General features: G+C 48.1%; 2 protein-coding genes across 18 annotated transcripts in view, besides 1 other annotated feature; one reads left to right on the top strand and one right to left on the bottom strand.

The window, feature by feature from the left end:
* BMP8B (bone morphogenetic protein 8b) overlaps window positions 1–7,064 on the top strand; it is a 31,684-nt gene extending 24,620 nt beyond the window's left edge. For 3 of the 5 annotated variants that reach the window (XM_011542022.3, XM_017002155.2, XM_024449299.2), the window contains 3 exons: window positions 455–534; window positions 1,044–1,154; window positions 1,887–2,077. In XM_011542022.3, the coding sequence (XP_011540324.1) occupies window positions 455–534; window positions 1,044–1,154; window positions 1,887–1,901 (206 nt within the window). In that variant the 3' untranslated portion in view covers window positions 1,902–2,077. Of the gene's footprint in view, window positions 1–454; window positions 535–1,043; window positions 1,155–1,886; window positions 2,078–3,677 lie in introns of those variants that run through there. The other 2 variants (NM_001720.5, XM_011542024.3) reach the window with 1 other exon arrangement.
* On the bottom strand, window positions 332–25,364 carry PPIE (peptidylprolyl isomerase E). Of its 13 annotated transcripts, none has more exons than XM_047430138.1 (11): window positions 24,953–25,364; window positions 23,983–24,081; window positions 22,837–22,880; window positions 22,325–22,351; window positions 20,949–21,030; window positions 20,322–20,422; window positions 18,748–18,871; window positions 15,158–15,343; window positions 11,194–11,336; window positions 1,591–1,729; window positions 332–557 (listed from the first exon to the last, which is right to left on the bottom strand). In XM_047430138.1, the coding sequence occupies exons 4-10, from the start codon at window positions 22,325–22,327 to the stop codon at window positions 1,622–1,624; spliced, it is 747 nt and encodes a 248-aa protein (XP_047286094.1). In that variant the 5' UTR covers window positions 22,328–22,351; window positions 22,837–22,880; window positions 23,983–24,081; window positions 24,953–25,364; the 3' UTR covers window positions 332–557; window positions 1,591–1,621. The 13 variants fall into 13 exon arrangements, 11 of the variants coding, with proteins under 11 accessions (XP_047286094.1, XP_016855540.1, XP_047286017.1 ...); XM_017000051.3 differs by having other exon boundaries at window positions 25,315–25,364; XM_047430061.1 differs by having other exon boundaries at window positions 332–595; window positions 1,595–1,729; window positions 25,315–25,364.
* Window positions 25,107–25,316: an enhancer, noted in NCBI's record as "active region_816". NCBI's record gives its function as "activates an Ori minimal core promoter by ATAC-STARR-seq in GM12878 lymphoblastoid cells {active_cell/tissue: GM12878}" and the evidence as "EXISTENCE:reporter gene assay evidence [ECO:0000049][PMID:35858748]".

Genomic DNA, 25,829 nt, shown 5'->3' with positions numbered 1-25,829 from the left:
CCCTTCAGGATCAGGGACAGGCCTGACCCAACCCCGTGCCCTCCTTCCCAGGGAGTCGGCCCTTGACTGGCCTGGTCGTGAGCCACTTGAACCTCGGGAATGGGTGTGGCAGGAGAGGGTGGGCTGGAGTCACAGGGGTCTCCAGAGAGGAGGAGGCACAGGATGGCCGAGGGTCCTGCTGGGCTGTTTACTGGAGCATAAAGATGCTCATAGGCTGAAGGACAGGGGAGGACTGGGCACAGTGTCACTCTAGCCATTGGGAGCCATGGCAGGCTTCTGAGCTGGGTCATGGTACAAGCAGAGTTCCAGGGATGGGCTTTATGAGACCAAATGGTTTCCTGTCATTCATTTATTTGACAAATGTGCTCATCAGGGCATCCCCCACCCTGGTACCCCATAGTAGCTGCACACAGTAGGAACCCCAGAAAAGACCTTGCCCCTTCTGTCCCTGCAGATGACGTCCACGGCTCCCACGGCCGGCAGGTCTGCCGTCGGCACGAGCTCTACGTCAGCTTCCAGGACCTCGGCTGGCTGGTAATTGCTGACTCTTCTTGTTTCTGAAATGACAATCACCACCTGTAGATCAGAAGTGAATCTGCAGGGAGGACATAGAATCATGGTGACTTCAATTTTCTTATGTATTTTTTTCTTCTGTGTTTTCCAAGTTTTCTAAAGTGAGAATATGGTGAGAAAGGGTTTTTTTTTTGTTCAGTTTTTTGTTTTTTTTAAAACCATGAAAATGAAGACTGAATCAACCAACTAAGCTGTCAGCATTGCTGCAGGGTAACTGAGACCTCCCTGCATTGGCTACGACTGCAGCTCTGGGAGGCGTGGGCAGGGGAGGGCCGGCTGGGGAGGGGACGCAAAGTGAAGATATGGGGGATGTTGGGCCTGAGCTCCTGCCCAGCCTTTTCTGCCGGGGGTTCCTGGGTGGATTCAAGCCTCTTGGGGGAGACGGCCCTGCAGGGCTGGAGGATGGGTTTGGGCCCTGAGGCTCAGGGAGGGGCACATGGATGGGACTCACCTTCTCCCTTGCCCCCCAGGACTGGGTCATCGCTCCCCAAGGCTACTCGGCCTATTACTGTGAGGGGGAGTGCTCCTTCCCACTGGACTCCTGCATGAATGCCACCAACCACGCCATCCTGCAGTCCCTGGTCAGTACCATGCCCATCCTGCCCAGCCCCCTGGGGTGGGGGGCCCTGTGGAGAGGGGTCTGGTCCAGCTGGCTGGGAGGGCAGTGAGGCCACCTGCTCCGCGTCTCAGGGGGCTTTGTCTGCACAGTCAGTAACGTCGCTAACTTCCCACAGCTCTGCAGGAACTGGTCCTTATACAGCCACACTACACGTAGACTCGCACCCAAACACGGACATACGTGAACAGTCGTGTACACATGCCTGTTCTATGCACCGAACAAACTCCTGTGGGACACTTACGCACCTGTGTGCAGCGCTCAGAGGCACAGCACATGAAACAGATGTGTACACTGTGTGGGGGCTGTGTGATCTTAGCACACGGGCCGCCGAGTACGCTGGCAAGTCTGACCGCCCGTGATATGTGTGCACAGTGTGTGGGGTGTGCGTGTGCACTCACCCACCTGTGCCGCACCGCAGGCAGGAAGCTTCTAGATGGTGTGGCTCTCAACCTTTTGGCTTTTCCCCCAGTTTCTCTCTTGGCCATCTTTGTTTTTTCTGGATCCCCTGGCTTTTGATGCCTTGGTATCTGGGGCAACCTTAAAGGACAAAAGCAGGTTTCTGATGGGATCACTGGTGCTGCTCACTGTTGAGTGCTCTGTGTGTTTGTGGATTCTGGCACCGAGGCTTCCTTCTAGAACTTTTTACCTAGAATCCCAGTTCCTGGTATTGCACAGCCTTATGTTTTCCCCTTAGGAGGTTCAACGGTGATGCCTTGATCAGGTGCGGTGGCTCACCCTGTAATCGCAGCACACGAGCCCAGAAGTTCAAGACAAGCCTGGGCAACACAGCAAAACCCTGTCTCTAAAATAAAAATTAAAACACACACACACACACGTGCGCACACTATGCCTTGGTGTGAGAGGAAATAAATTACCAAAAGCTGCTCTGAGCCTATGATAATGCTTCCTTTCTGGGCAGTCAAATGGTGTTTGCTGGACACCTGGAGCCACCTCCTTGGAAAGGCCCAGGGATGATGAGGACGCGTGGGGCGGCCCAGCCCAGCCACCCTTTATGCCGTGTGGTTCTCATGGCTGCATGTGTGGGAGGCACGCGGGAAGGTGACTGCATCTGCAGCTCCCAGACTCCATCTCCTCTGCCCTTGCCCCTGCCCCTCAGGGGCTCAACTAAAGTGAGCACTCGTAACCTGCTGGGCAGCAAACAGACAGGCGCTGCGCTCTAGGGGAGGCTGTCGGTTTGTTGGTTTGTCCAAAGCAAAACAACCGTGGAGGTGACGCCTCCTGTGAGGAAGAGCAGAGTGGCTGCTCCATCAGTGGGGAGAGACTGGGCCTGGCCTCTCCACAGAAGGAGGGGGCCAGTCAGCAGCTGGAGGAGGAATGTTCCAGCAGAAGGAGCAATTCCAAGGCCCTAAGACAGCAGTGAGCTTGGCAGGTTCAGGGCCAGCAGGGAGAAGGGGCTGGGTGCAGTGAGTGGGAGGAGGGCGGAGGGAGGTGACACCAGGGTGGGCAGGGCCGGCTCCCCTAGGGCCTGGGGGTCTGAATGAAGGTGTTTTATTCCAAGTAACCCAAGAGGCTGTCGGAGCTCTTTAGCAAAGCAGTGTTCTGGTCCATGTCACCCTCCAGAAGGACCTCTCTCTGGCTGCTGGGGGAGGCTGGGATTGGGGGTGGGGGTGGTGGTGGAAGGTGGAGGAGCAGGGGATGAGTGAAGGCTGCTGTGGTCACCTGACAGGTGATGGCAGCTGGACGGGGCAGGTGGTCCAAGGCAGCATGGAGGTGGAGGTTGAGCCAGGGGCTGCTCCCAGGGAAGGGAGGAGGCAAGAGGAGTCATCCAGGAGGCCTCCCAGGCGGGGGCTATGATGTCAGGGCGGGAGGAACTCCATGTTCCGCTGAGGCCCCATTAGACCCCAAGTGCAGAAGTGGCGAGGGGAGCAGGATCCACAAGTCTGGAGTTCAGAAGAGAGGTCCAAGCTGAGCCTGGGGAGTGGAGAGGTGCGGGCACGTGCAGGGCCTTGAAGTGCTGAGGGCGGATGCAGTCCTCTGGGGGAAGGAGCAGCACAGGAGAGGGGCGGAGGCCTGGCCTCCCAGAGACTGGGGAGGGAGGCCAGGGTGTGGGAGGCAGAGCCTCTGGGGGTCCGAAGGGCCAAAAGAAGAAAGTGGTCCTTCCAGGCTCCCCCTTGGGGACCTCACTAAGGGCACAAACCTGGCCACACAGTTCTCCTTCCCATTATCCCCAGGAGGAAGTCTGAGCCCTTGGCCTGGGACTCCAGGCCCCTCATTAGCGCCTTGCCCACCTGCTGCACACCCCCTGCCATGTGTCCCTCCCTGGGCACTGCGTGTTACTACAGCTCCCACTCCTGGAGCCTTGAGGACTGCTCTTATTCCTGTTAATAGTTATTATTATTGTGCTGCTCCCATGTGGCCTGGAGATGGCCAGGGCAGGGAGCAGGTGGAGCTGGGGTGGGGCTGGGTGGGTCCTTGGAGGAGGCCACTGGGCTCATGCCCCTGCCTGTGCCCTCTTCCTGGCCAGGTGCACCTGATGATGCCAGACGCAGTCCCCAAGGCGTGCTGTGCACCCACCAAGCTGAGCGCCACCTCTGTGCTCTACTATGACAGCAGCAACAATGTCATCCTGCGCAAGCACCGCAACATGGTGGTCAAGGCCTGCGGCTGCCACTGAGTCCACCCGCCCGGCCCAGCTGCAGCCACCCTTCTCATCTGGATCGGGCCCCTCAGAAGCAGGAAACCCTCAAACCCAGCCAGACCCCAGGCCGGGGCATTGCCAGGGAGGACCCTCACAACCACGTACATGACCCTTTCTCCTTCATGCCAGGCTCCTATGCTCCCCTTGCCCTGCCAGGCATTTGTGTGACTGTCCTGTTTCCAGCCCAGGTGGTCTCAATCATCAGGCAGTGTTCTACCCAAATGCAAACGCCTCTCCCGGAGGCATGTCCTGGCTGGTTCTTTGGGGTTGGCACAGAAGTCCTGTCTGAGGTCCTATCCATGCCCCTTACTGGCTCAGGTCGTGAGATAGATGTGGAATGACCTGAGAGGCACCTGGAGCCCACTGTTGGCCACCTTGAGCTCTTCACCATCCATCACAGGGTGTGGTGTGTGTAGTCAGGGTCTGGTTGGCTCCCCATTGCCTGCCCGAGGTGCAAGGTGGGGTATAAAACTGGATAACCCCTGAAGTATTGTATATTCATGGATCTGAAGCACTGATCCACTGGTCACAGGTAGACATGTGGAGTCAACTCAAGAAAAAGCTGAGTGAACAGCATGATTTAGGGCTAAAGCCAATGGCATTTATCTTCCCTTGTCTTCCTGCTTTGCATTTGCCTCTGCCATCTAGGAAAGACATGTAAGAGCATGGACATTTTACTTTGGAGAAACAGAAAAATCTTGGGGCTTCCAATTGACCCATCTATCTGCCACCATGTTGCCCCACCAGGAGCTCAGCTCTGTGGAGTTTTCCCTTTGCTGAGCAAGCATGTGGTTGCATTGGGTGGCCCAGGATGACAATGCACAGCACAGATGCCATCATTTCCCTTTCCCCTCTGAATGGCAGACATCAGTAATCAATCTGGAATGTTTTTCTTCCAAATCTGAGTGGAATTTTCAAATGATCAGCACAGCCACTGCCAACAGATATGATGTAAAGTGAAACCTGGTTGCCATCTTCTGCCATGCTGAGGAGCAGTCCATCCCTGCCCGAGCATGTATCGGCAACATGGGCAGCCTGTGACCGGGTCTGGGGCGAGGCCAGGGGCCATCAAAAACAGGCTGATCACCAAAGTCAGTGTCACCCTGGATGCCCAGCAGCCCTGTCCTGTGTCTTGGGCCTGTGAGTCAAAGAAAAGGTCCTTTTCAGGGAGTGACAAGTAGTAATTAGGCTGAGTTGGGTGGAGAGGTTTGTCTCAGCCTCTGCTGTTCTCGGAAACTGCTGTTCTCCTTGGAGCAGCCACTGGGAGTTGGAGTGTTTATTTGATTTCTGACTTGCTAAGCCTGTAATTTACCTGCTGGAATAGACAGAGTCCAGCTGCCCAAACCGTGTCATTAAAAGCAGATCCTGCGCCCGCCCCATCCACAGGCACAGCCCGGCAGAGTGGTTCCACCTCCCCATGGGCCCAAGGATGCGCCTCTCTGGAGTTCACGTGCTGCACCCCCAGGGAGGGGCCTGGGGAAAGCTGGTCCAGCAGCAGGGGTGGAGGCTGGGGCCACACTGCGGGACAGCAGCCCCTCCACCTGGACCAGGGAGGGCCTCCATGTGCAAGCGCAGAGGAAGAGACCCTCCCATGTACGCAAAGGGCAGCCCCAGGCTGTCTGGAAGTTGGAGAATTCCCTATCAGCACAGGGATCTCAGCTCTGGCCTGGAGGTGAAGAGACCTGCCTTGTAGGTGGCTTCCTTATCTGCGCCTCCATTTTCTATCTGCACTTTTTGATCTCCAAACAACCTTCAGCCAAAGAATCTGTCTACCAACTCCTCATAGTGAGCCAGAAGCAGCCTCATAACCCTGAATGTGGGGCTCTGGTGGCTGTCACGAAGCAGAGTTGGCACATAACATGGAACCTGGCCAGGCATGGTGGCTCACACCTATAACCCCAGCACTTTGGGAGGCCAAGGCAGGCAGATCACCTGAAGTCAGGAGTTCAAGACCATCCTGGCCAACACAGTGAAACCCCATCTGTACTAAAAATACAAGATTACCTGGGCATGGTGGTGCATGCCTATAATCCCAGCTACTCAGGAGGCTGAGGCAGAATTGCTTGAACCTGGGAGGTGGAGGTTGCAGTGAGCAGAGATCACAACATTGCACTTCAGCCTGGTGACATGAGCAAAACTGTTGTCTCAACAAAATGAAATTATGGAACCTGTTTGCCATCCTAGTATTTACTTAATTGTTCCTTCTTAACATCAAAGATGGTCTTCTAGGCAATTGTAAATTTTAAATTAGCCAGTTATTTTGACAATTAATTTTTTACTCCACCTGTATCTTTAGTGCCCAGCCAATGATCTGGCATAGTTAGGGGTGCACCAAGAATGTCTGTAAACTACCTGAAGGTTTGTAGATATGGAGTACACCTTACCCATTAATCAAGCTGTGCATAGCAGGAACCAATACGAGCCGTGATCCTCCTGGTTCATACAGAACAATGGAAAAACATAAGGCTTTGTCTACCTAGTTGGCCATCAGACTTTCAGCAACTTTTATCATCCAGATAGTCACCAAATGAAATAAAATAGAAAAATCCCTTGAGCAATGAAACAATTGTGAATGAACACAAAGTCCATGAATTTAATCCTTATCCGTTTGCTGAGCCAAGCATGTGCATCTGCAGTGGGTGGCCCAGGCTGGCAGCACAGATACCACCATTTCCCTTTTCTTTGCTCAGGGCATGGCCTGTTTATCTCGTTGCACCAGATGAGGGTTGGAAGGATGATGGTGGTGGTTGTTTCAGATCTACTGACAGCAATGAGAAATCAATGACAGTTGACAGGAAGAGAGGACGCATACAACAGGCAAAAGAGGAATGCCCAGCAGTCTTGGTCCTTGCGGTGCAATACTGGCCTTGAGGCCAAGTCAGCAGGGGATTCGTAGTCACTAACTTCTAACTGAGGCAGGGAAGTAACATGTTCTGGAAAAGGTCCAAAGAAACAGGAATAGAGGCAGTGTAGCAAGAGGCAGATTTTTGGTGCCAAATAGATTTGAATCCTGGTTCTGCTTCTTCCTTTGTAGAGTATGATATTGGTTCTTTCCTCCCAAAGCTATTATAAAGACTAAATATGTACACAAATCTTTGGGATGTCTGACATATAAATGCTTAACAATAGGTATTTGCTGGTATTATTACAAATGAATTTGCTTATTTTTGAGCCACTTCTATGTCTGTCCATTAAACCAAAATGTGTTCTGCAGGTGATGATGTATTTATTTCAGAGCTGTGCTCTTTCCTAAACCATCTACACATGGCATCCCTCAGAGGGCGGGACTTGTATTCTTATAGCCTTTAAAGGCCTAGCAAGTGTCACTTGTGGCAGCGGCTGTGAAACTTTGCTGTGTTCCCAGACAATGGGATCCCATGTCCTGCTGAGAGAGGTCTGTACCCACCAGGTGTCTTGGGTGGCAATTTGCATGGGGGAACTGCCCATCCAGGTCAACTGCTTGGCCCCCTTTTTGAAAGGAACCCTGGATGGGCACTTGACCCCCTTTTTCAAAAATGTCTTTCACTTCTCAAAAAAATAATGCAGTTTTGGAGGAAAGTGGGATATATAAAAAATAAAATACAATTCAAATCACTACAGTCCCACAAGTCAAATAAACACACTATTAATATTTTTGTGGCTTTATTTCTAGGCTTTTTTTCTTAAGATATACAAATACCTATGCTTACATATTACAGATATTTTTACAAAATTGGGATCACACTGTACTATATATGTTTCTTTGTGATGTGCTTTTTCTACTTTAGTTTCCCATCACTGAACTCTACAAGACTCCATTTTCAACAATAAAAAGTTGGTTCTATAATTCCTTCTTCAGAGGTTGCCGTGAGGCTGCCATGACTGCAACAGATGCTGGGAGCACCTGGAGGCGGCTGTCATGCTGTTGGAGAGGACACTCCAACAGCCACAGCACTGATCCTGGGCCTGCCATCCCTGGTTTCAGCCTTTGTAACCGTTTCAGGGCCAGCATGTGGGGACTCAGATGGGGCTCAACTCTGAATGAGTTAGGGGGGAAATGAATCAGCAAAAGGAAGCCCTGTGCCCAGTCCTGGTGCTGGTCCAGCAATGGGAATGTGGAATGGGGAGGCCAGTTGGGACAGGAGCCACACAGTCCCAGGGAAAGCCGCTTTGCTCTCCAGGCTGCAGGAAAGGACGCCCACAGAGCCACTGGCTCCACTTCCCAGAGAGGTCAGAGTTTTCCCGAGGCAGCCAGGTGCAGCTGCTGCATGGTGCGTAGCCGAAGCAGGTGGCCAGGCTGTGGGGCATGCCACTGCCCAGCTCTGGGGCTCCCCTCCCTTCTGGCCTGGAAGAGCAGGGTCTTGTCTCCTGTGTCTCTCCACACAGGTCCTGGCCAATCATGGGGACCATGACTGTGTCACTCCCCAGGGCTGTGGACCCTGCCGCCACAGATTGAGGCTAAAGCCTAGTAAACCTCCCAGGACTCCATTACTACTGAAGAGAGACAGGCTGGGCTTCTAATCCCAGCTCTGCCAAACCACCCTGTGTGACCTTTGGCAGTCACGCCAATAAAGCCTCAGTTTACCTGTGCAGGGTTCCAGTGTGCATTCAATAACATCTGTGAACACCCAGGAGGAACACTGGGAGAGGAGTCCACACCCAATGGCTCCAAACCTGCTGAGCTTTCAGAACTGCCCACTGGCCTCCACCTCCCCAGAGTATCAGGGAGGAACAGAGTGACAAGGTTGTCACAGGAGTCTGTCCTTTTATGGGAGGCTGGCTGTGCTTTTTCTACACACTCTCTCCTGGTTCTCGTCCAAGCACTGAAGTCAGTGCTATCATCCCCAGCTTCATAGATGCCTGCCTAACACCTGTGACTGACCTCTGATGGCCATTATTTGCACTCAGAGAAGGGGCTGTGCTTTGAGGGAGGGTCTCTTTTGGAAGCTCCATAGGGGTGAGGGGTAACCATGTAGTATATCCCAGCTACATGGAGCCTGAACTCAGTCAACTGTAGCAGCTGGAGCTCACAAAGTCCAGTCGGCACATGGGAGCCAGAGGTAGGGCAGAATGCCACCATCCCTCAGCAAGAGCTATCCTAGGGTCATGAGGACCACCTAGCCTCTCCTGCCTCCTGGCTCATCCAGATCTCAATCCAAGATGCAAAAGCTCAGCTCAGTGGATTCTGAATGGTCTGAGTGACCCAACCCACAGGAGGTGTCCAACAGCTACAGGACTCAGTCCCTGCTAAAAGCCTTCAGCAGATGAGATTCTTTATAACCGCCTGGCTGACCAGCATCTGGAGGGGGAGTGGAGAGAAGCCAGCTCCAAGAAGTGGCTGCACACAGGAGAGCCAGACTGTGAGCTCAGCAGGGGGTGGGACCATTTGTTCTCTTCAGTGGCTGGCAATCCTGTTTTGTAAAGGCTCAGATAGTAAGTATTTTAGGCCTTGGGACTGTGATGGTCTATTTTGTGTGTCAATTTGGCTAGGCCATGGTATCCAGTTTTTAGTCAAACACTAGTCTAGATGTTGCTGTGATGATGGTTTCTTTTTTTCAAGACAGGGTCTCCCTCTTGTCACCCAGGCTGGAGTACAGTGGCATGACCATGGCTGACTGCAGCCTCAACCTCCCAGGTTCAAGCGATCCTCCCACCTCAGCCTTCTGAGTAGCTGGGACTATAGGTGTGCACTACCATACCTGGCTTTTTTTTCTCCCCCTAGAGATGGGGGTCTCTACATTGCCCAGGCTGGTCTTGAACTCCTGGGCTCAAGTGATCCTCCTGCCTCAGCCTCCCAATAGTGGTGGAATTATAGGCATGAGCCACCATGCCTGGCCTATTTTTTAGATGGATTAATATTTAAGTCAGTAGAGAGTAAAGCAGATTACCCTCCATAATGTGGGTAGGCCTCATCCAATCAGTTGAAATTCTTAAGAGAAAAAAGACTGAGATCACTGGAGGAAGAATTCTGCTTCCAAACTGCCTCAGAGCTGAACTGCAACATCAGTTTTTTTCCTGAGTCTCCAGCCTGCTGGTCTGTTGTGCAGATTGCAGACTTGCCAGCTCCTACCACTGCTTGAGCCAGTTCCTTAAAATAAATCTCTTTCTACATATATACACACCCTATTGGTTCTGCTTCTCTAGAAAACCCTAATACAGGGACCATAGCCTGTATTGTGTCTATAGCCCCTTACGCACCTCTGCCACTGCAGTAAGAAACCACCATGGACAATATGTAAATAAATGGACGTGGCTGTGTTCCAATAAAACCTGATTCATAAAAACAGGCAGTGGGCTGGATTAGGCACATGTAGTTTGTTGGCTTCCTGTCTCCTGACAAATAGGCATAGTACTTGGCACAGAGAAGGCACTTTGAGTTATAAAAATTTCATTTTTTAAAATCTGTAGGGTGAAAGTGAACAAATAAACAAATGAACCACTGAGAGTACACTTGCTGGCTGTAAGGCCGGCAGCTGGGTTTAGGAGCAGAGGCAGCAGAAGACCGGAGCTTTCCAGTCTTTAATTTCCGTTGCCCTGACATCGATGCCTGGTGTGAAGATACATCACCTGACATCTAAGGGGATCGGCCCAAGGGAGGAAATGAAAGCTGTGAAAAAGATGCTCTGCTCTCCCCACTCACCAGCCTGCCTCAGAGGTCCAGCTTAGCCACAGACACAATCTCTGACAACTCCCAAGAACTAGCAGGAAGAGCAATATAAGAACTAGGGTTTATTTTAGCAAAGAAAACACGTAAGAGCCACACTGGTAGTCCCAGGAGAGGCCCAGCAGCAAATGCTGAGAAAAGCCAGTGGCTTTTTGCACAGCCTGCCCATGGTGGAGGGGAGCACCTGAGCTGGCTCCTGGGCCCACAGCTGTGCCTGGGAATAGTCCAGGCTGTGCCTGCAGAGGAGCTGCTCCAAGCAGACCCTGAGGAAGGGCACATATCCCAAATGCTGCTTGCTTCAAACAGGCACCCTCGGTGCTGCCTCCTCTGAGGCTGGCAGTTCCTTCCTGGATATGCAGGGTCAAGAGCGGAGGGGGAAGCAGAGAGAGTGCCGCCTCACACGTACTCCCCACAGTCGGCGATGATCACCTTCTGCTTTGGCTTCCCGTCCTTGCTGCCCTGGGCCTTTGTGGCAGAATAGAAGTGAGGGAGTAAGGCCGGAGACTAACAGTGGTTTAGGGATACCAACCCCTGCCTGCCCATTTGCCCACTTCCACCCCGGAACCTGGGCAGCAGCAGCCCCTCCCGCTGGACACAGCCCCTGGCCATCTCTCTCAGGCCACAGAGACTCTCCAGCCCTCACACAGGGCTGTGCTCCTAGGGCCTGGGTAAGGAGGAGGCCCATTCCTGGCCACATACCTCAATTTGCCGCAAGACATCTAGGCCTTCGGTGACCTCTCCAAACACCACATGCTTGCCATCCAGCCAGTCTGTCTTGTCACATGTCAGGAAGAACTGAGAGCCATTGGTGTTTGGGCCAGAGTTGGCCATGGATAGTAGACCTGAGGGAGAGAACAACCATCAGCTCCCCGAACCCTGGCTACCAGCCCTTAAAGGACGTCTGTGCAGGCTGTTGACAGCCCTTCAGCCAGTCAGGCTCAGACTCGGGGATGCACAGATCACATGCAAATGCGGCCACCTTATCTTGGATTCAGTTAATAGTCAGTGAAATGGTAAGTGAGGTGTTTCAATCACTTTATACTGGTCTGTTCTTTCATTAATTCATTTATTTAACAATTAAGTGTCTACTTGACAACCAGGTCCCTGTTAAGCCCTGGGAACACTGATGAGCAGAACATAGTCCAAGCTCTGGTGGAGCTCACAATCAGTGGAAAAGAGCCATTCAAAATGACAGCTATGACACAGTGAGGCCTGGTAACATGGACATTTGTCACGTAAGAGAATGTACATGTATATGTGTGTGTCTGTGTGTGTATGTGTACATGTATGTATGTGTGTGTGTGTCCACAATGACTCCTAAGTTTCTGATCAAGCGGCTAAGTGGATGGTGGAGTCATTTATTGAAACAGGGAAGAGGAGGAGGAAGAGTTTAGGGGAGAAGGCCAAGAGCTGTTTTAGACATGTAAAGTGTGAGATGCTCGTGGGATATCCAGTGAAGACAACAGGCAGGCAGTTGGACAGGAGTCTGGAGCTCAGGGAGCCATCAGCATGCAGATGCCAGTCTGCACAAACTTAACTCAGAGATACCGCTGAAAGCCCTGGGACCGGGTGTGACTGCTTAGGGCACTGCTTCTCAGTGGGGTTGGTGTCCTGTCCCTAGGAAACCTTTGGAAATCTGAATTTACTTTTTTTGAGATGGGGATCACTCTGTCACCCAGGCTGAGTACAGGAGTGCATCACAGCTCACTGTAGCCTCAATCTCTGGGGCACAAGCAATCCTCTCACCTCAACTCCCAAGCGGCTGAGACTACAGGCGTGCACCACCACACCTGGATAATTTTTTTATTCTTTTTTCAGTAGATATAGGGTCTCACTATGTTGCCCAGGCTGGTCTCGAACTCCTGAACTCACGTGATCCTCTGGCTTTGGGCTGCCACTTCAGACTCCCAAAGTGTTGGGATTACAGGCATGAGCCGCCGTGCCTGGCCTGAAAGTGTTTTTGACTGTCTGAAATATTGTGGGGGTGCTACTGGCATTTAGCAGGTGGGGGCCTGGAATGCTAGATGTTCTGCAATGTCTGGCACAATGAATTGTCTCATATCCTCTTGGCCCTTACAAACATCCTGCTAGAGGCTGGGCGCAGTGGCTAATGCTTGTAATCCCAGCACTCTGGGAGGCTGAAGTGGGAGGATCACTTGAAGCTAAGAGTTCCAGACTAGCCTGAGCAATATAATGAAACCCTGTCTCTACAAAAAACTTAAAAATTAGCCTGGCATTATGGATGGCGTGCACCTATAATCCCAGCTATTTGGGAGGCTGAGGCAGGACTGCTTGAGCTGGAGAGGTTGAGGCTGCAGTGAGCCGTCTTGCACCACTGCACTCCAGCCTGAGCAACAGAAAGAGACCCTGTCTCAAAAAAACAAAAACCAAACAACAACAAAACAACAAATATCCTGCCAGATATTGGTATAGGTAAAAAATGTGTTTACAGTTATCTGCACCTAAAACATAATTCCATTATACATATAAGCCCAAAGTTTTGGAGTGCTTTTGATTTTCCATGGAATCTTCTAGGAATGTAACTACTATGTAAATAAACAGATTATTCTTTACTTTGGACTCTAATCAACTTTATCTACCATTTCACAAAGCCGTATCACCAATAGCATCACTCCTAGTGGTATCCAGTTGACACTCCCGTCTGCATTTCTAACTGCTGCGTTTGAGTACAGGGGCAGACGCCTGAATAATTCACTTTGTGTTCTGACACAGCTGTGCTTAAGCATGTACATCTGGAAACATATTCGAGTATTATACAAATTCGTTTATTTCCTCTGATGTTCTTCCCTATTATAGTTACAGATGAATACTGATTTTTAAAATAACGATGTGGGTCAGTGGGCTATATCACCTACACATGTCAGTTCAGTATAGTAAAGAGGGGCCCTACAAACCACCAGTTAGAAAAACGGAGCACAGGGTAACAGGCTTCTGGAGAACCAAAGAATGGGCTCTGAGCCACTTCAGTGTTTAAGGGTCAGGAAAAGAAGGAGACAGCAAAGACAGAAAAAGCAGCCATCTAGGTAAAAGGAGACAAGAAGAGGCAGGAGTCCTGCCAGCCAAGTGAAGAAGGAGTCAAGGAGAACAGAGTTAGTACAGGCTGAGCATCCCAAATGTGAAAATCCAAAATCCAAAATGCCCCAAAATCTGAAACTTCACGAGCACTGATATGATACTCAAAGGAACTGCTCACTCGAGCATTTCAGATTTGAGATATTCAGATTTGGGATGCTCAACTGGTAAGTATAATGCAAATATTCCAAAATACAAAATACTTCTGGTCCCAAGCATTTCAGGAAAGGGACACTCAACCTGTAGTATGAAATGCTCCTGGGAGGTGGGATAACATCTGGGAGGTGGGATAAGATGATCGCCAAGAACTGGCTACTCGTATTTTTGGCAAGAGTGGTTTCAATGGCGAGATGGGACTAGAAGTCTGCCTAGAAGGGATTAGAGAAAACGCGAAGGCAGCAAGTCTGTACCATGTTTTCAAGAAGTTATGCTTTTACTTCTTGAAAAAAGATGGGGGACCAGGGGCATGGGTGATAGCTGGAGAGGGAACAAGAGTACAAGGATGAAGTTTGTTTTTTTTTTTCCGAGACGGAGTTTCGCTCTTGTTGCCCAGGCTGGAGTGCAATGGTGCGATCTTGGCTCATCACAACCTCCGCCTCCCAGGTTCAAGTGATTCTCCTGCCTCAGCCTTCCGAGCAGCTAGGATTACAGGCACGCGCCACCACGCCCGGCTAATTTTATATTTTTAGTAGAGATGGGGTTTCTCCATGTTAGTTAGGCTGGCCTCCAACTCCTGACCTCAGGTGATCCGCCTGCCTCTGCCTCCCAAAATGCTGGGATTACAGGACTAAGCCACTGCACCCGGCAACCGGATGAAGATTTTTTTTAAAGGTTGATAACTGCATGCTTTCATGCTAATGGACTGATCTAGCAGAGCAGGGGAAATGGATTACAAGAAGGGGACAACTTTAGAAGCCATGTTCCTAAGTAGAGGAGAGGGACAGGATCCAGTCCACAGGTGGAGAGGCTGGCCTAGGAGAGACAGCTCATCCCCTGTAATTGGAAGAAAGAGCATGCACGAGTGGAGAGATGCAGGAGGTGAAGCATTAGATGAGGTGGGAAGGTGATGATATGAGGGCTTCAGAAGTGAAGACGGGCATGGACACATCATCTCCGGTTGGGACTGAGCATCAAGTAGGGAAATCTGGTCAGGTTGGCAAGGGTCCCCTTAAGAACTATAGTTATAAATTTCAAGTGGGATTGTTCAGTACAATTCTGTGTTTTTTCTCTAGTTGCTGGGGGACTAACCACCGAGATTTTACTGAGTAAATCTGATGGTGAGGGCAGGGAGAGCAGTGGGGTTGAGAGCATAAGAGCCTGCAACAGCAGACCACAGAATCCAAGCGGGGCTAATAGGAATTGTGGACACGGTTGGGGGATGAACAGTACCTGAATGTCAACAAGCCAACTCCACCCTAGCAAGGCTGCATGGTTCTCCTATGTCTGGTGGCTGGGTCTCCTCCAGACTCTTAGTGTCCGCCAGCCAGAACTACAACCTGTCCTTCCATCCTGCCTGGCCATCCCACCCTTGCCCAGCCTCCCTCGTCACCACATGCCAACTGGCTCCTACCTGGTCCCGTATGCTTGAGGATAAAGTTTTCATCATCGAACTTCTTCCCATAGATGGACTTGCCCCCAGTGCCATTGTGGTTTGTGAAATCACCGCCCTGGCACATGAACTGGGGGATGATGCGGTGGAAGCTGCTTCCCTTAAAGCCAAAGCCCTTTTCATGAGTGCACAGGCAGCGGAAATTCTCTGGAATTGAGAAAGGAAAAAGCGCTGGGGTTAAAAAATAGGACAAAATAAAAAACCTCGAAAAAACTTTGGTTTAGTGTTCATATTTTTGTTTTAAAATAAGAGATACTCATTATAAACCTTTGTGATACTAACCTTGTAAGGACTATAAGGGATTCTTTTTCCTTGAGACGGAGTTTCACTCTTGTTGCCCATGCTGCAGTGCAATGGCACAATCTCAGTTCACTGCAACTTCCACCTCTTGGGTTCAAGTCATTCCCCTGCCTCAGCCTCTTGAGTAGCTGGGACTACAGGCATGTACCATACACCTGGCTAATTTTGTATTTTTAGTAGAGATGGGGTTTCACTATGTTGGCCAAGCTGGTCTAGAACTCCTACCTCAGATGATCCGCCCACCTTGGCCTCCCAAAGTGCTGGGATTACAGGTGTAAACCACCACACCTGGCCAGGACTATAGGAGATTCTGTTGAAGGGGGATTGAATATACATGTTCGAGCTCTGTTCCCTTTTAAAACCACACTAAATTGGTAGGAAACTGATTTTTTAAAAGAAAAACCAAAGGATCTTAGAAGAAAACATAGGGGCAAATCTTCATGACTCTGGATTTGGTGATGGTTTCTTAAATGTCACACCAAAAGCAGAGGTGAAAGAAAAAAATAATTAGATTTTATCAAAATTTAAGACGTGCATCAAAGAACCGTACCAATAGAGGGCAAAGCAACCCACAGAACAGGAGAATGCTTATTTGCAAATCATATTTAACATGGGTTTAATATCCAGAATATATAATGAACTCCTATAATTCAACAACAAAATGGCCAGGCACGGTGTAATCCCAGTGCTTTGGGAGGTCAAGGCAGGAGGATCACTGGAGGTCAAGGGTTCAAAGCTACAGTAAGCCATGTTCTCACCACTGCACTCCAGCCTGGGAGTCAGAGCAAGACCCTGTCTCTTAAAAAAAACAAAACAAACAATCCAGTTAATAAATAAGCCAAAGATTTGAAAAGATGTTTCTCCAAAGAAGATATACAAATGGTCAACAAGCACATGAAAAGATGTTCAACATCATTAGTCAGTAGGGAATAAAAATAAAAACCACAATGAGATGCCATGTCACACCTGTTAAGAGAAGATGTGGGCCAGGCATGGTGGCTCACGCCTGTAATCCCAGCACTATGGGAGGCCGAGGCAGGCGAATCATGAGGTCAGGAGTTTGAGACCAGCCTGGCCAACCAACATGGTGAAACCTCGTCTCTACTAAAAATACAAAAAATTGGCTGGGCATGGTGGCAGACGCCTGTAATCCCAGCTACTCGGGAGGCTGAGGCACAAGAATCACTTGAACCTGGGAGGCGGAGGTTGCAGTGAGCCAATATCACGCCACTGTACTCCAGCCCGGGCAACAGTGCGAGACTCTGTCTCAAAAAAAAAAAAAAAAAAAAAAAAAGAGAAGATGTGGAAAAACTGAAACACTCATACATTGCTGGTAGAAATGTAAAATGGTCCAGCCACTGTGGAAAATAGTTTGGCATTTCCTCAAAAAGTTAAATACAGAGTTACCATATGACTAAGCATTTCCATTCCTAGGCATATATATCCAAAAGAATTGAAAACAGGAATTTAAACATATACTTACATGTGGATATTCACACAGGCATTTACAATAGTCAAAAGGTGAAAACAATGTGCAAGTGCCCATCAACAAATGAATGAACAAGATATTTATCCAAATACAACGGAATATTATTCAGCCACAAAAAGGAATGAGGCACTGATACATGGTACAAGGATGAACCTTGAAAGCATTATGCTATGCAAAATCAACAAGGCGTGGAAAAGGACAGCTATTGTATGATTCCACTTACATGAAAAATCTAGGATAGGCCAATTCATAGACACAAAGATTAGAGGTTATCAGAAGCTAAGGGGAGGAGAAAATGGGGAGTTATTATTTAATAGGTACCTTTAATAAGTGGTTTTGTTTAGGATGATTCAAAAATTTCGAACAGAGTAATTACTGCTAACAAACACTTTAAAGTGGCTAAAATAGCCAAAAAATAAACTTAAAAAGCAGGGAGGAAGAGACAACAGCAACAAAATTTCTGAAGTTAGAAAACAAAATAGATGAGTCCTAAATGATATAGCAGACCCGAGAAAGCTGAATCTTAAGCTGGTAAAAGCCAAGAAGCAACTCAATTTGCACTCCAAAAGCTCAGAGGAAAGGGTGCAGGTAATCCTGGAGACAGTAAGTTTGGCTGAAAGCCCATTTAAGAAAGTGGTTAATCTTTGGGATCCTTTCCCTGACTCTGCAGCTGGGGGCCACCCCTCCCCAACCTGGTAGCCAGCTGGGGGTCTAGTCTTTGGTAGGTTAAAGCAGAGGGTCTCTGGACTAGGACATCCTACGCATAGTGAGGGCTGAGGTACCATAATGACAAATGGAGATTATGTGAAAGTTTATATACTGAATGTTGAGGAATTCAGCCTTGCCCTCATCTCCCCTTAACAAGATGCAGACACCTGGATGCAAAACCCCCAGCAGGATGGTCTGGGAGAAAATCAGGAATGATTACACAGAAAACTATGCAAAAACAAGGCAATTATCAATTCCAGGCAAAACAAAATGCTGTGCATGAAAGGAGGTTATCACATGATGCTTACATTGTTAAAATAACTTAGGACCTAACCAAAATTATGGTACCTATACAGGGAAGATGAGGGGGCAGGGAAGGGGATTTTAAAAAACTAATTCTTTGTTCTCTGAAGTAGAAAATCAGAAGATAATGTTTAAAATGGAAAACAGGAAGTAGAAATATAAAACTGTTATCAACATGGAAATAAAAACCAAAACACCTAAGAGTTGAAATCCGCTCCTCTGAGGAGCAGCAAATGGTGTTGGCAGCAGGGCACAGGGACAGCACCAGGGGACGACTGTTTTTTCAAAACAAGCTTTGTGAAACTGAATTGACTCTTTATATGTCTAGATAATAAAATTTAGATTAAAAAGAGAATAGAAGTCAATATTTAATAAATTACAAAGAATACTCAATAAAAGCACTAGTTACTTCTAGAATTGAGGACTGGATGTAGAGAGGGGAAAATGAATTTTCAATTTATTGTCTTAAATATTATTGGAATATATGTATATGCTATTCTTTAAAAAAAAGAATACATTATTTACTTGTATTTTTAAAAAACGATTAAAAAACAGTAAGCCAGCACTTATAAAGCTTCAAAAACACCTGCTCTGACTTATCTGTTACTAGATCCCAGGATCTGAGATGCCTCAAATCAACTTAGGTCAGAAGCAATATCAAGGACACAAGAAGTGAAGCAGTAAGAACCTGGGAAAGGCTCACTGCTCAGCCACCAGCGTCCCGCCGTTCTGACCACAGCGTCCTGCTCACCTGCTGTCATGGGCACGACATCAGAACGCAGGAGCATCTGGATGCGGCCAGCCGGCTTGTTCCCAATCTTGATGTCCATGTACACCTGAGGATTTGAGCGGGCCTTTTTAGCAATGGGCTCTCCCTAGGTGCAGAAGAAATTGCTAGTTAGAGAGAGCTCCCTGACGCCCTAAGTAGGAGTGCGAGTATTCTACACACCCACCCAGAACACAACTCCAGTGCGTAGGCTGGAGCAAGTGCTGACGGGGAAGGCCTTGGGCCCTGATAGGGCTGCAGGAGGCAGGAGCCATGGCCGTAGCACCCAGCTGGATGCCCAGCGACAGGAGGTCTCAGCACTGGCTAACCTGAGCCTCACACACGGGGGTGTTATCTCATCATGCTTGCCCTCAGATGCATCTGCTTCCTCCTCTTGCTTCACAGTCACAGAACAGCACTTTTCTGGTCCATGATCCACAACTCTCAGTATCTTCAAATGCCAGTTCCAGCCCACCCACTGTCCTCTAGTTAGGCAGACCCATCCATGTACCACCTCGTCCCTCTGTGCCTGGCCCTGCATATACACTGGCTAACTACATGGAAGCAAGGGGGCAGCCCTCTTGCTCAGGCCTAAGTGCTCAGAAGACAGTGGAAGATGTTGGGCCTTGCATTGTGCTCCAAGTAGGTAAGACTAAGCAGAGGATACAGGATGATCCAGGGGGACTCCACTGACTGTGATGGCCACTTTATGAGTTCTGATTTGCATTCAAATTTCTGGCGTGGGTCAATGTGTGGATGAATGGTGGCAAATTAGCCAAGATTGAGAACACAGGAAGACAGGATTAGAGAAGCGGGAGAATCCATTTTAGGCAAACTTAAGCTGCCCATGAGACTTGCAGGCAGAAATATCTGAAGCTCAGGACTAGAAAGAGACCATGAAGATCAACAGCATAACAGAGGCTGCATAAAACTAGAGATAGACTGCTACTGTTTCAGCTGAGAGAAGAGAGAGAAACCATGAGCCAAGAAAGAAATACAGAAGAATGACAACATTCACAAAGTACTCAGAGGAGGGGACGCCCAGGAAGCAACTGTCAGAGACTATGCTGAGAATCAGGGGGAAGTGCCCCAGCAGGTTCCCGTAGGACTGGAGAACCCTGAACCCATGTACAGGTTGAAGGAAGGGACACTACCCTATTCTGTCTCCCCTCCATTAGCACAGGAATAGGAAGACCACGACCCTTGTGGCAAACTCTTCAGTGAAGGAGGGGGACTGATCAGGAGGGGTGAAGAGGGGCACCTCAGCTTCCTCCCTGTCAGTTGATAATCACAAATCCATACCTGAGCAGAGCTGAGACACTCATCACATAGAACACAACATGGACAAGAGACCCAAAGTTTCGCCCTTGAATTCACTCGATATTGACTTTACCAAAGTACTAAGAACTCAATATTGACTTTACCAAAGTACTAAGAATTCATTATTCATTCCCTCCACTTTGATATACATATTGGCAAATTTCCATTAAAACTTAAAAAAAAAAGTCTCCTGTGGACAGCGCCGGCCTGTGCTCTGGAAGCAGGAGCTTCATTCTCACCTCCTGGGTCTCTGCTTTGGGAGGCTCTGACCCTTCTTCCTCTTTATTCTCTTCAAGCGTCTTCCCAGAAAACTTCTTCAACCAGTCATCATCTGACCAAACTGAAAGGAAAGAATCAAACAAATGTTCATTCAAGCTGTCAGCTTGAACTGAAAAGTAGCTGCTTTGGTCAGCAAAGTGGAAGATGCTATGTGGCCTGTATGCCAGACAATTCCCCACTGAGAACTCCCAGGGGTAAGGAAAGTTCCCATCCAGAATGTAGGCCCTGAAGTCCAGCTCTCAGTAGGGCTAAGGAAAATAGCTATGCCGAAAGCAAAGGTGTAGCCTTTGCTGATTTCAGCCCTTGATGGAGACCCCAGGAATGGAATATCAAGAAAACTGGGAAAGATGAGCTCAGGCAGGAATTTCTCTCATAACAGAAACAATCACTTTGGCTTTGCTGAGAAGCTCAAACTCACTTGTTTCTCTAAAAAGGTGGTGCATGCCCTTCCCAATGTGAACCATCATCTACTCCTATCTACCAGGAAGCAGCATTTAGCATCTACTTCCAAGTAAATAGAGACAAAAAATGCAACTAAGGCCAAACTGCAGAACATCACAGGGAATCTGGAAGTTGCTCCTACTCACCTGGCCTGGAAGAGCCTTCCTTAATTCTCATTGGTTTGGCCAAATTGACACGAATTGTACGTCCAAAAAGCTCAGATTCATTCTGAAAAGATTGAAAATCCAGCTGCTTAAACTCTCTTAGGTTAAAAGAGGGCCAGCCAGCTTTCCATATACTTCTGAGACACACTCATGATTTGTCCTCCCTTAATCCCTGGGCCTCTACCAGTAAGCTATGCAGCCACCCCAAAGCCACCTGTGGGTTTCAGGGAACTCACACCCCTTTCTTTCATAGCAGCACACAAAGACCTGTATTACCAAAAGTAACTCTGGGTTCAGAACACTCCAAAATTACAAAAATAAATGCAGTTTCCCAGTATTTGAGTTCACCTTCAAAAGTCAAGATAAGCTTTGAAATGAAAGAAAAATGATCTCTGACAGCTGATGAATATGTTTGGTGAATGGATAACAGAACAACAAATAAAACAACATCTCATTATCCAAAGATAATCGGTACCAGGAAAGGTCATTTAAGGTGACTCCACTTGAAGTGGTGATGAAGATTTCGTGGTAAAATTGAAAAATTTTAAAAGGCTGACTGGGAAATTACTGTGATGAAACTAAAAATAATAAAAACAAGTTTCTTACCATTAATATTCAGGACTAACTATGCACTAATCGGTAGAAAGAAATGTAACTTGGTAGAAAGAAATGTAACAGGTAGCCCAGGTAGCCCTGTTGGCTTGAGCCTGTAATTCCAGCTACTTGAGAAGCTGAGAAGTCTTGAACTCATGAGTTCAAGATTGTTAAAAAAAAAAAAAAAAAAAAAAAGAAAGAAAGAAAAGTAACAGGCACTGAAGTATTATTTTTCCAACAAAATTCTATCAACAGTATGGTATCTTTGCACTTCTTATCAGACATGAAAACTAAAAGGATCTCAAGGAAGGCACAAATACTAAAGAGCATCATCATTTTTCCCAAGGACCTTTCCAGAATATCCAAATCATTTGTATCAGTGATTTGCACCTGCCATAATTAAATTTCTCTTCTCAATTGTAAATTGGTCTAACACTTCATGAAATCCTGCTATTTTGCAAAATATGCAGTTACACCGTGCAATCAATTTGCACTGTGTCTGCAAATTATCCTAAACATGGGAGAGCCAGTGAGAGACTGGTCAACAAGGATGATGAGGACTTACATTATTCTGAAATGGCGAAGGAGTCTGAGTAAGAACTAATTTTATAAGTGATCAATTCACAGTGAATATTTTCATGTGAGAATTTTTACCTCCCCATGCAACCTTGTAACTTTGGAAGTCCAGAACACTGATATATGAATAAGGAGCCTCTGTACCACCAAAAAGCAACTTTAGTTAGAATTAAGATTCCCAGCCATACCATGTTGTCGATAGCTGCTGCAGCATCCTGCCAAGGAAAGACAAAGGTACAAGTTTAGGCTTGCAGCCAAATGCTTCTTATGGTGTCTAAACACATGCTCAGTAGCAAAAATCCAGAAAAATGCCACCTCTGTATTTCTTGCCTAGGTTTTGTGTGTTTCTAACAAAGAGCACTTCCTGGCTGATTTTAGAGCTGGTGGTGCAACAATTTGCCATCTAGTTGAAGGCACAAGAAATAATCACTACTTCCAGGCAAGAATGCTCAATGAACAGGGGTGCATGAGCTAGCTCCTCTGCAGGGCAAGAATGGGAGGGCCTGGCAGGTCTGACATGTTATTCACAGTCCAGTCTGATTATGTGAGAGACGCTTTCCTTAGAACAGCACTTACTTCTGATCTCTCTGGAAGCATCAGCCTAAGGCCCAAAAACCTAACCAAATGGTGAAAAGCTTCCTTTGTAATCAGTAACAACATCACAAACCAAGGACTAGACACTAGTAACACAGACTCTCACCTCTGCCAACTCAAATTCAACAAAAGCAAATCCTCGGTGCTTTTCTACAAAATGGAAAAACAAAAACAAGTAATTACTATGTGGGGTAGTGGGAAGAAACAGGATGGTCACAAAGTGAAGTCAGTTACATGTCGTATCCAAACACCAGAAGTTCTATCCAATCACTATTTAGGAAGAAGGAATCTCATTCTTGATTCTTCTTATACAATATTTTAAGCAATAATAAACTTTGTTTTTTTAATGGACATAGCTGAATAGTAAACTGTATTTTTAATTGATAAGTATTCAATTATTCTACGAAAGCCAAACTTAAAACCTTAACCATTGCATGCAAAGCAATTAGAAAAATAAAGTCATTTGACCTATCAATTATCTATCTAAATATATATTTTGCGCATCAACTGTGCATAAAGCATGAATCCTAAAACCTGATAAAGATGCTCAGTCTTTATCTTCAGGAAAATGCTGAACTAACTAGAAAGACCAAGCACAATAATGTTTATCATAGAACTCAGAGACTAGAAGGCCCTTAGAAAGCCAACATAACCTTATCATTTTGCAAATAAAGATTTCCCAGGCCCAGAGAGTTTAAAGACTTTGCTAACAATCATATGCAAGGTTGATGATAAAACTAGGCCTAAAACTATAATCTTAAAAATGACAACAAAGGTAAACAGAAAACTGAACTGTGGTTGTGATACCAATCGATGGGAAACCCACCCAGGGGTGCAGAGGCCAAGAACCCCCGCCCTCACCCACCCCCATTATGGGGCTAGGCTTTCCCGCTGCCTCATTTAATAGCACAGCTGCAAGAAGGTGCAGGTGGGATGGGGTACCCATCAGGTAGATTAAAACAACATTCAAATCTCAATGTAGTTCAAACCTATCTCCCTACTGGTCTATTGAAAAATCTGTCTTATCTCAACCCAACAGCTGAAGACTCTGGAAAGTATTCAGAGTTCACAACCACATGGCCTCAGAACATTCCTTCTCCATCGAGATCACTGTCACCAGACACCTTCCTGAACTTACCTGTAGTGTATACTAACCATATTTAGAATGCATATTTAGAATTGTGATGTGACTTTAATTTTTTAAGGTATTTTCCTAGTAAGAGGATTCTGAACGTGAGAGACACTAACTCACCTGTTTCATAATCCAGAGGAATCTGAATATCTGTGATGTCTCCAAAAGGAATGAACGCAGCATGAAGAACTTTGTCGTCCACTTCCTCTGCCAGTCCACCTGCAAATAAGCCAAGGGCCTTCTGAGCCACTGATCTCCATACTCTTGCAGAAGTCCTTGCAGCCCAGTTAGCATGCTAGCCAGGGGACAGGACCCTTCCATTCAGTTCTTTGGGTAAACAAACATCCCCCTCTCATCTCTGCCCACCCATACTTATGAAAAATATTCCTCTCTTCGCCCTTCTTTCAGACTCTCATCTAGTCCTGGGATTACTGCAATAGCTTCACAACTGACCTCCCTGCCTCCATTCCATCAACTCCACAAAGCCAACTAGAATGATCTTAGGAAAATGCAAATTTGAACCCGTAACTTTTCGCTTACACTCCTTCAAAGGCTTCCCACTGTCCTCAGGATAAAGTGCAAACTCCTTAGCAGTACCCACCTCTCCAGCTTTTTTGCTTTGCTTCCTAATTTCCTGGGTCTCCCGAATAATGACCCACTTGCCCCCAAGTGTCAGGCTATTTCACACCTTTGCGACTCCCTTGCAGTGAACGGCCTTGCCTCTGCTTCGGTTACGTAGCTAACTCCTGCTCATCAGCTCTGGCATCGCCGCATCCAGAATTTGCCCTCGCTTCTCCAGATGGATGGGTCATTTGTCCCGCAGCCAGGCCCATATTATCATGATCCATCCTCACTACAGCGCTTATCAAAAGTGTGCTACTGAGGTAATTCCACTTTTTTTCTGGCTAGTCTGGGAACTCCTTCCTTTATGGCAGGGGCTGGGGCTGAGCCGTCGCTGCACTGAATGTTTGTAAAACAAATGAACGAGAGGATCCGAAGGGCCATAATACTCCTTTACCGCTCCTCGGGGCCCGCTGGAGCTCAGCGGGCTAGGAAGTCAGAATAATCATTCCGTCTCGGGTTCACGCACCTGAGGTGTGTGGCAAGGCTGTTCACTGCAAGGGAGTCGCAAAAGCAGAGGCCCAAAGGTGTGAAATAACCTGAACCTTGGGGGCAAGTGGGTCATTTTTCGGGAGACCCAGCGAATCGGGAAGCAAAGCAAAGAAGCTGGAGAAGTGCGTACTGCTAAGAAGTCTGCACTTTTTCCTGAGGACAGTGGGAAACCTTGGAAGGAGTTTAAGCACAGCCAGAGCTATCGCCAGCACTACCGCCAGAGACCCGGCCTTGACAGCAGCTCGCCGTCCTCCTGGTTCAGAGATGCGTCCCACCCCACGCCCCGACCCTTGGGGGTCGCGTTCACTCAGACTCCGCCTAGCAACCCCTCCTGCTCACCCACGTACAAGACGCGCTTGGTGGTGGCCATCTTGCTCGCGCGCTTTTCCGCCGGAAGCCAGCACTCGACCCGTCCTCTTCCCCACTGTCCCGCCCCGCCCCCAACGCTTAGCTCTTAGACCCCGCCCACCCTCGCGTTGGTCCAACCGGCATCCCGCTACCCGGATGCACTGGGCGCCTTGTGAGGTGCGCAGTGGTAAACCAAGGGACGTGGTCCTCGCGCTTCCCAGTGCGCACCGTGTTGGGGGAGGGAAACCTTGGCCGAATCAACCCGATTATTATGGGCAAACGATAAACTCTGGTGCTTGGCCATCCTGCGCGTCTGTTTTTGGACAACCTGGGAGCTAAGAATGAATTTTACCTTTTGAAATAGTTGGAAAAAATAAAAAAACTATATTTTCTTGGCCGGGCGTGGTGGCTCATGCCTGTAGCCCCAGCACTTTGGGAGGCTGAGGCGGGCGGATCACCTGAGGTCAGGAGTTCGAGAGCAGCCTGGCCAACATGGTGAAACCCCG

The sequence above is a fragment of the Homo sapiens genome, chromosome 1 (genome assembly GCF_000001405.40).
Source record: "Homo sapiens chromosome 1, GRCh38.p14 Primary Assembly".
NCBI lineage: Eukaryota > Metazoa > Chordata > Mammalia > Primates > Hominidae > Homo > Homo sapiens.
Note: the sequence above shows the minus strand (reverse complement) of the source record. Positions and strands in the feature narration are given on the sequence as shown.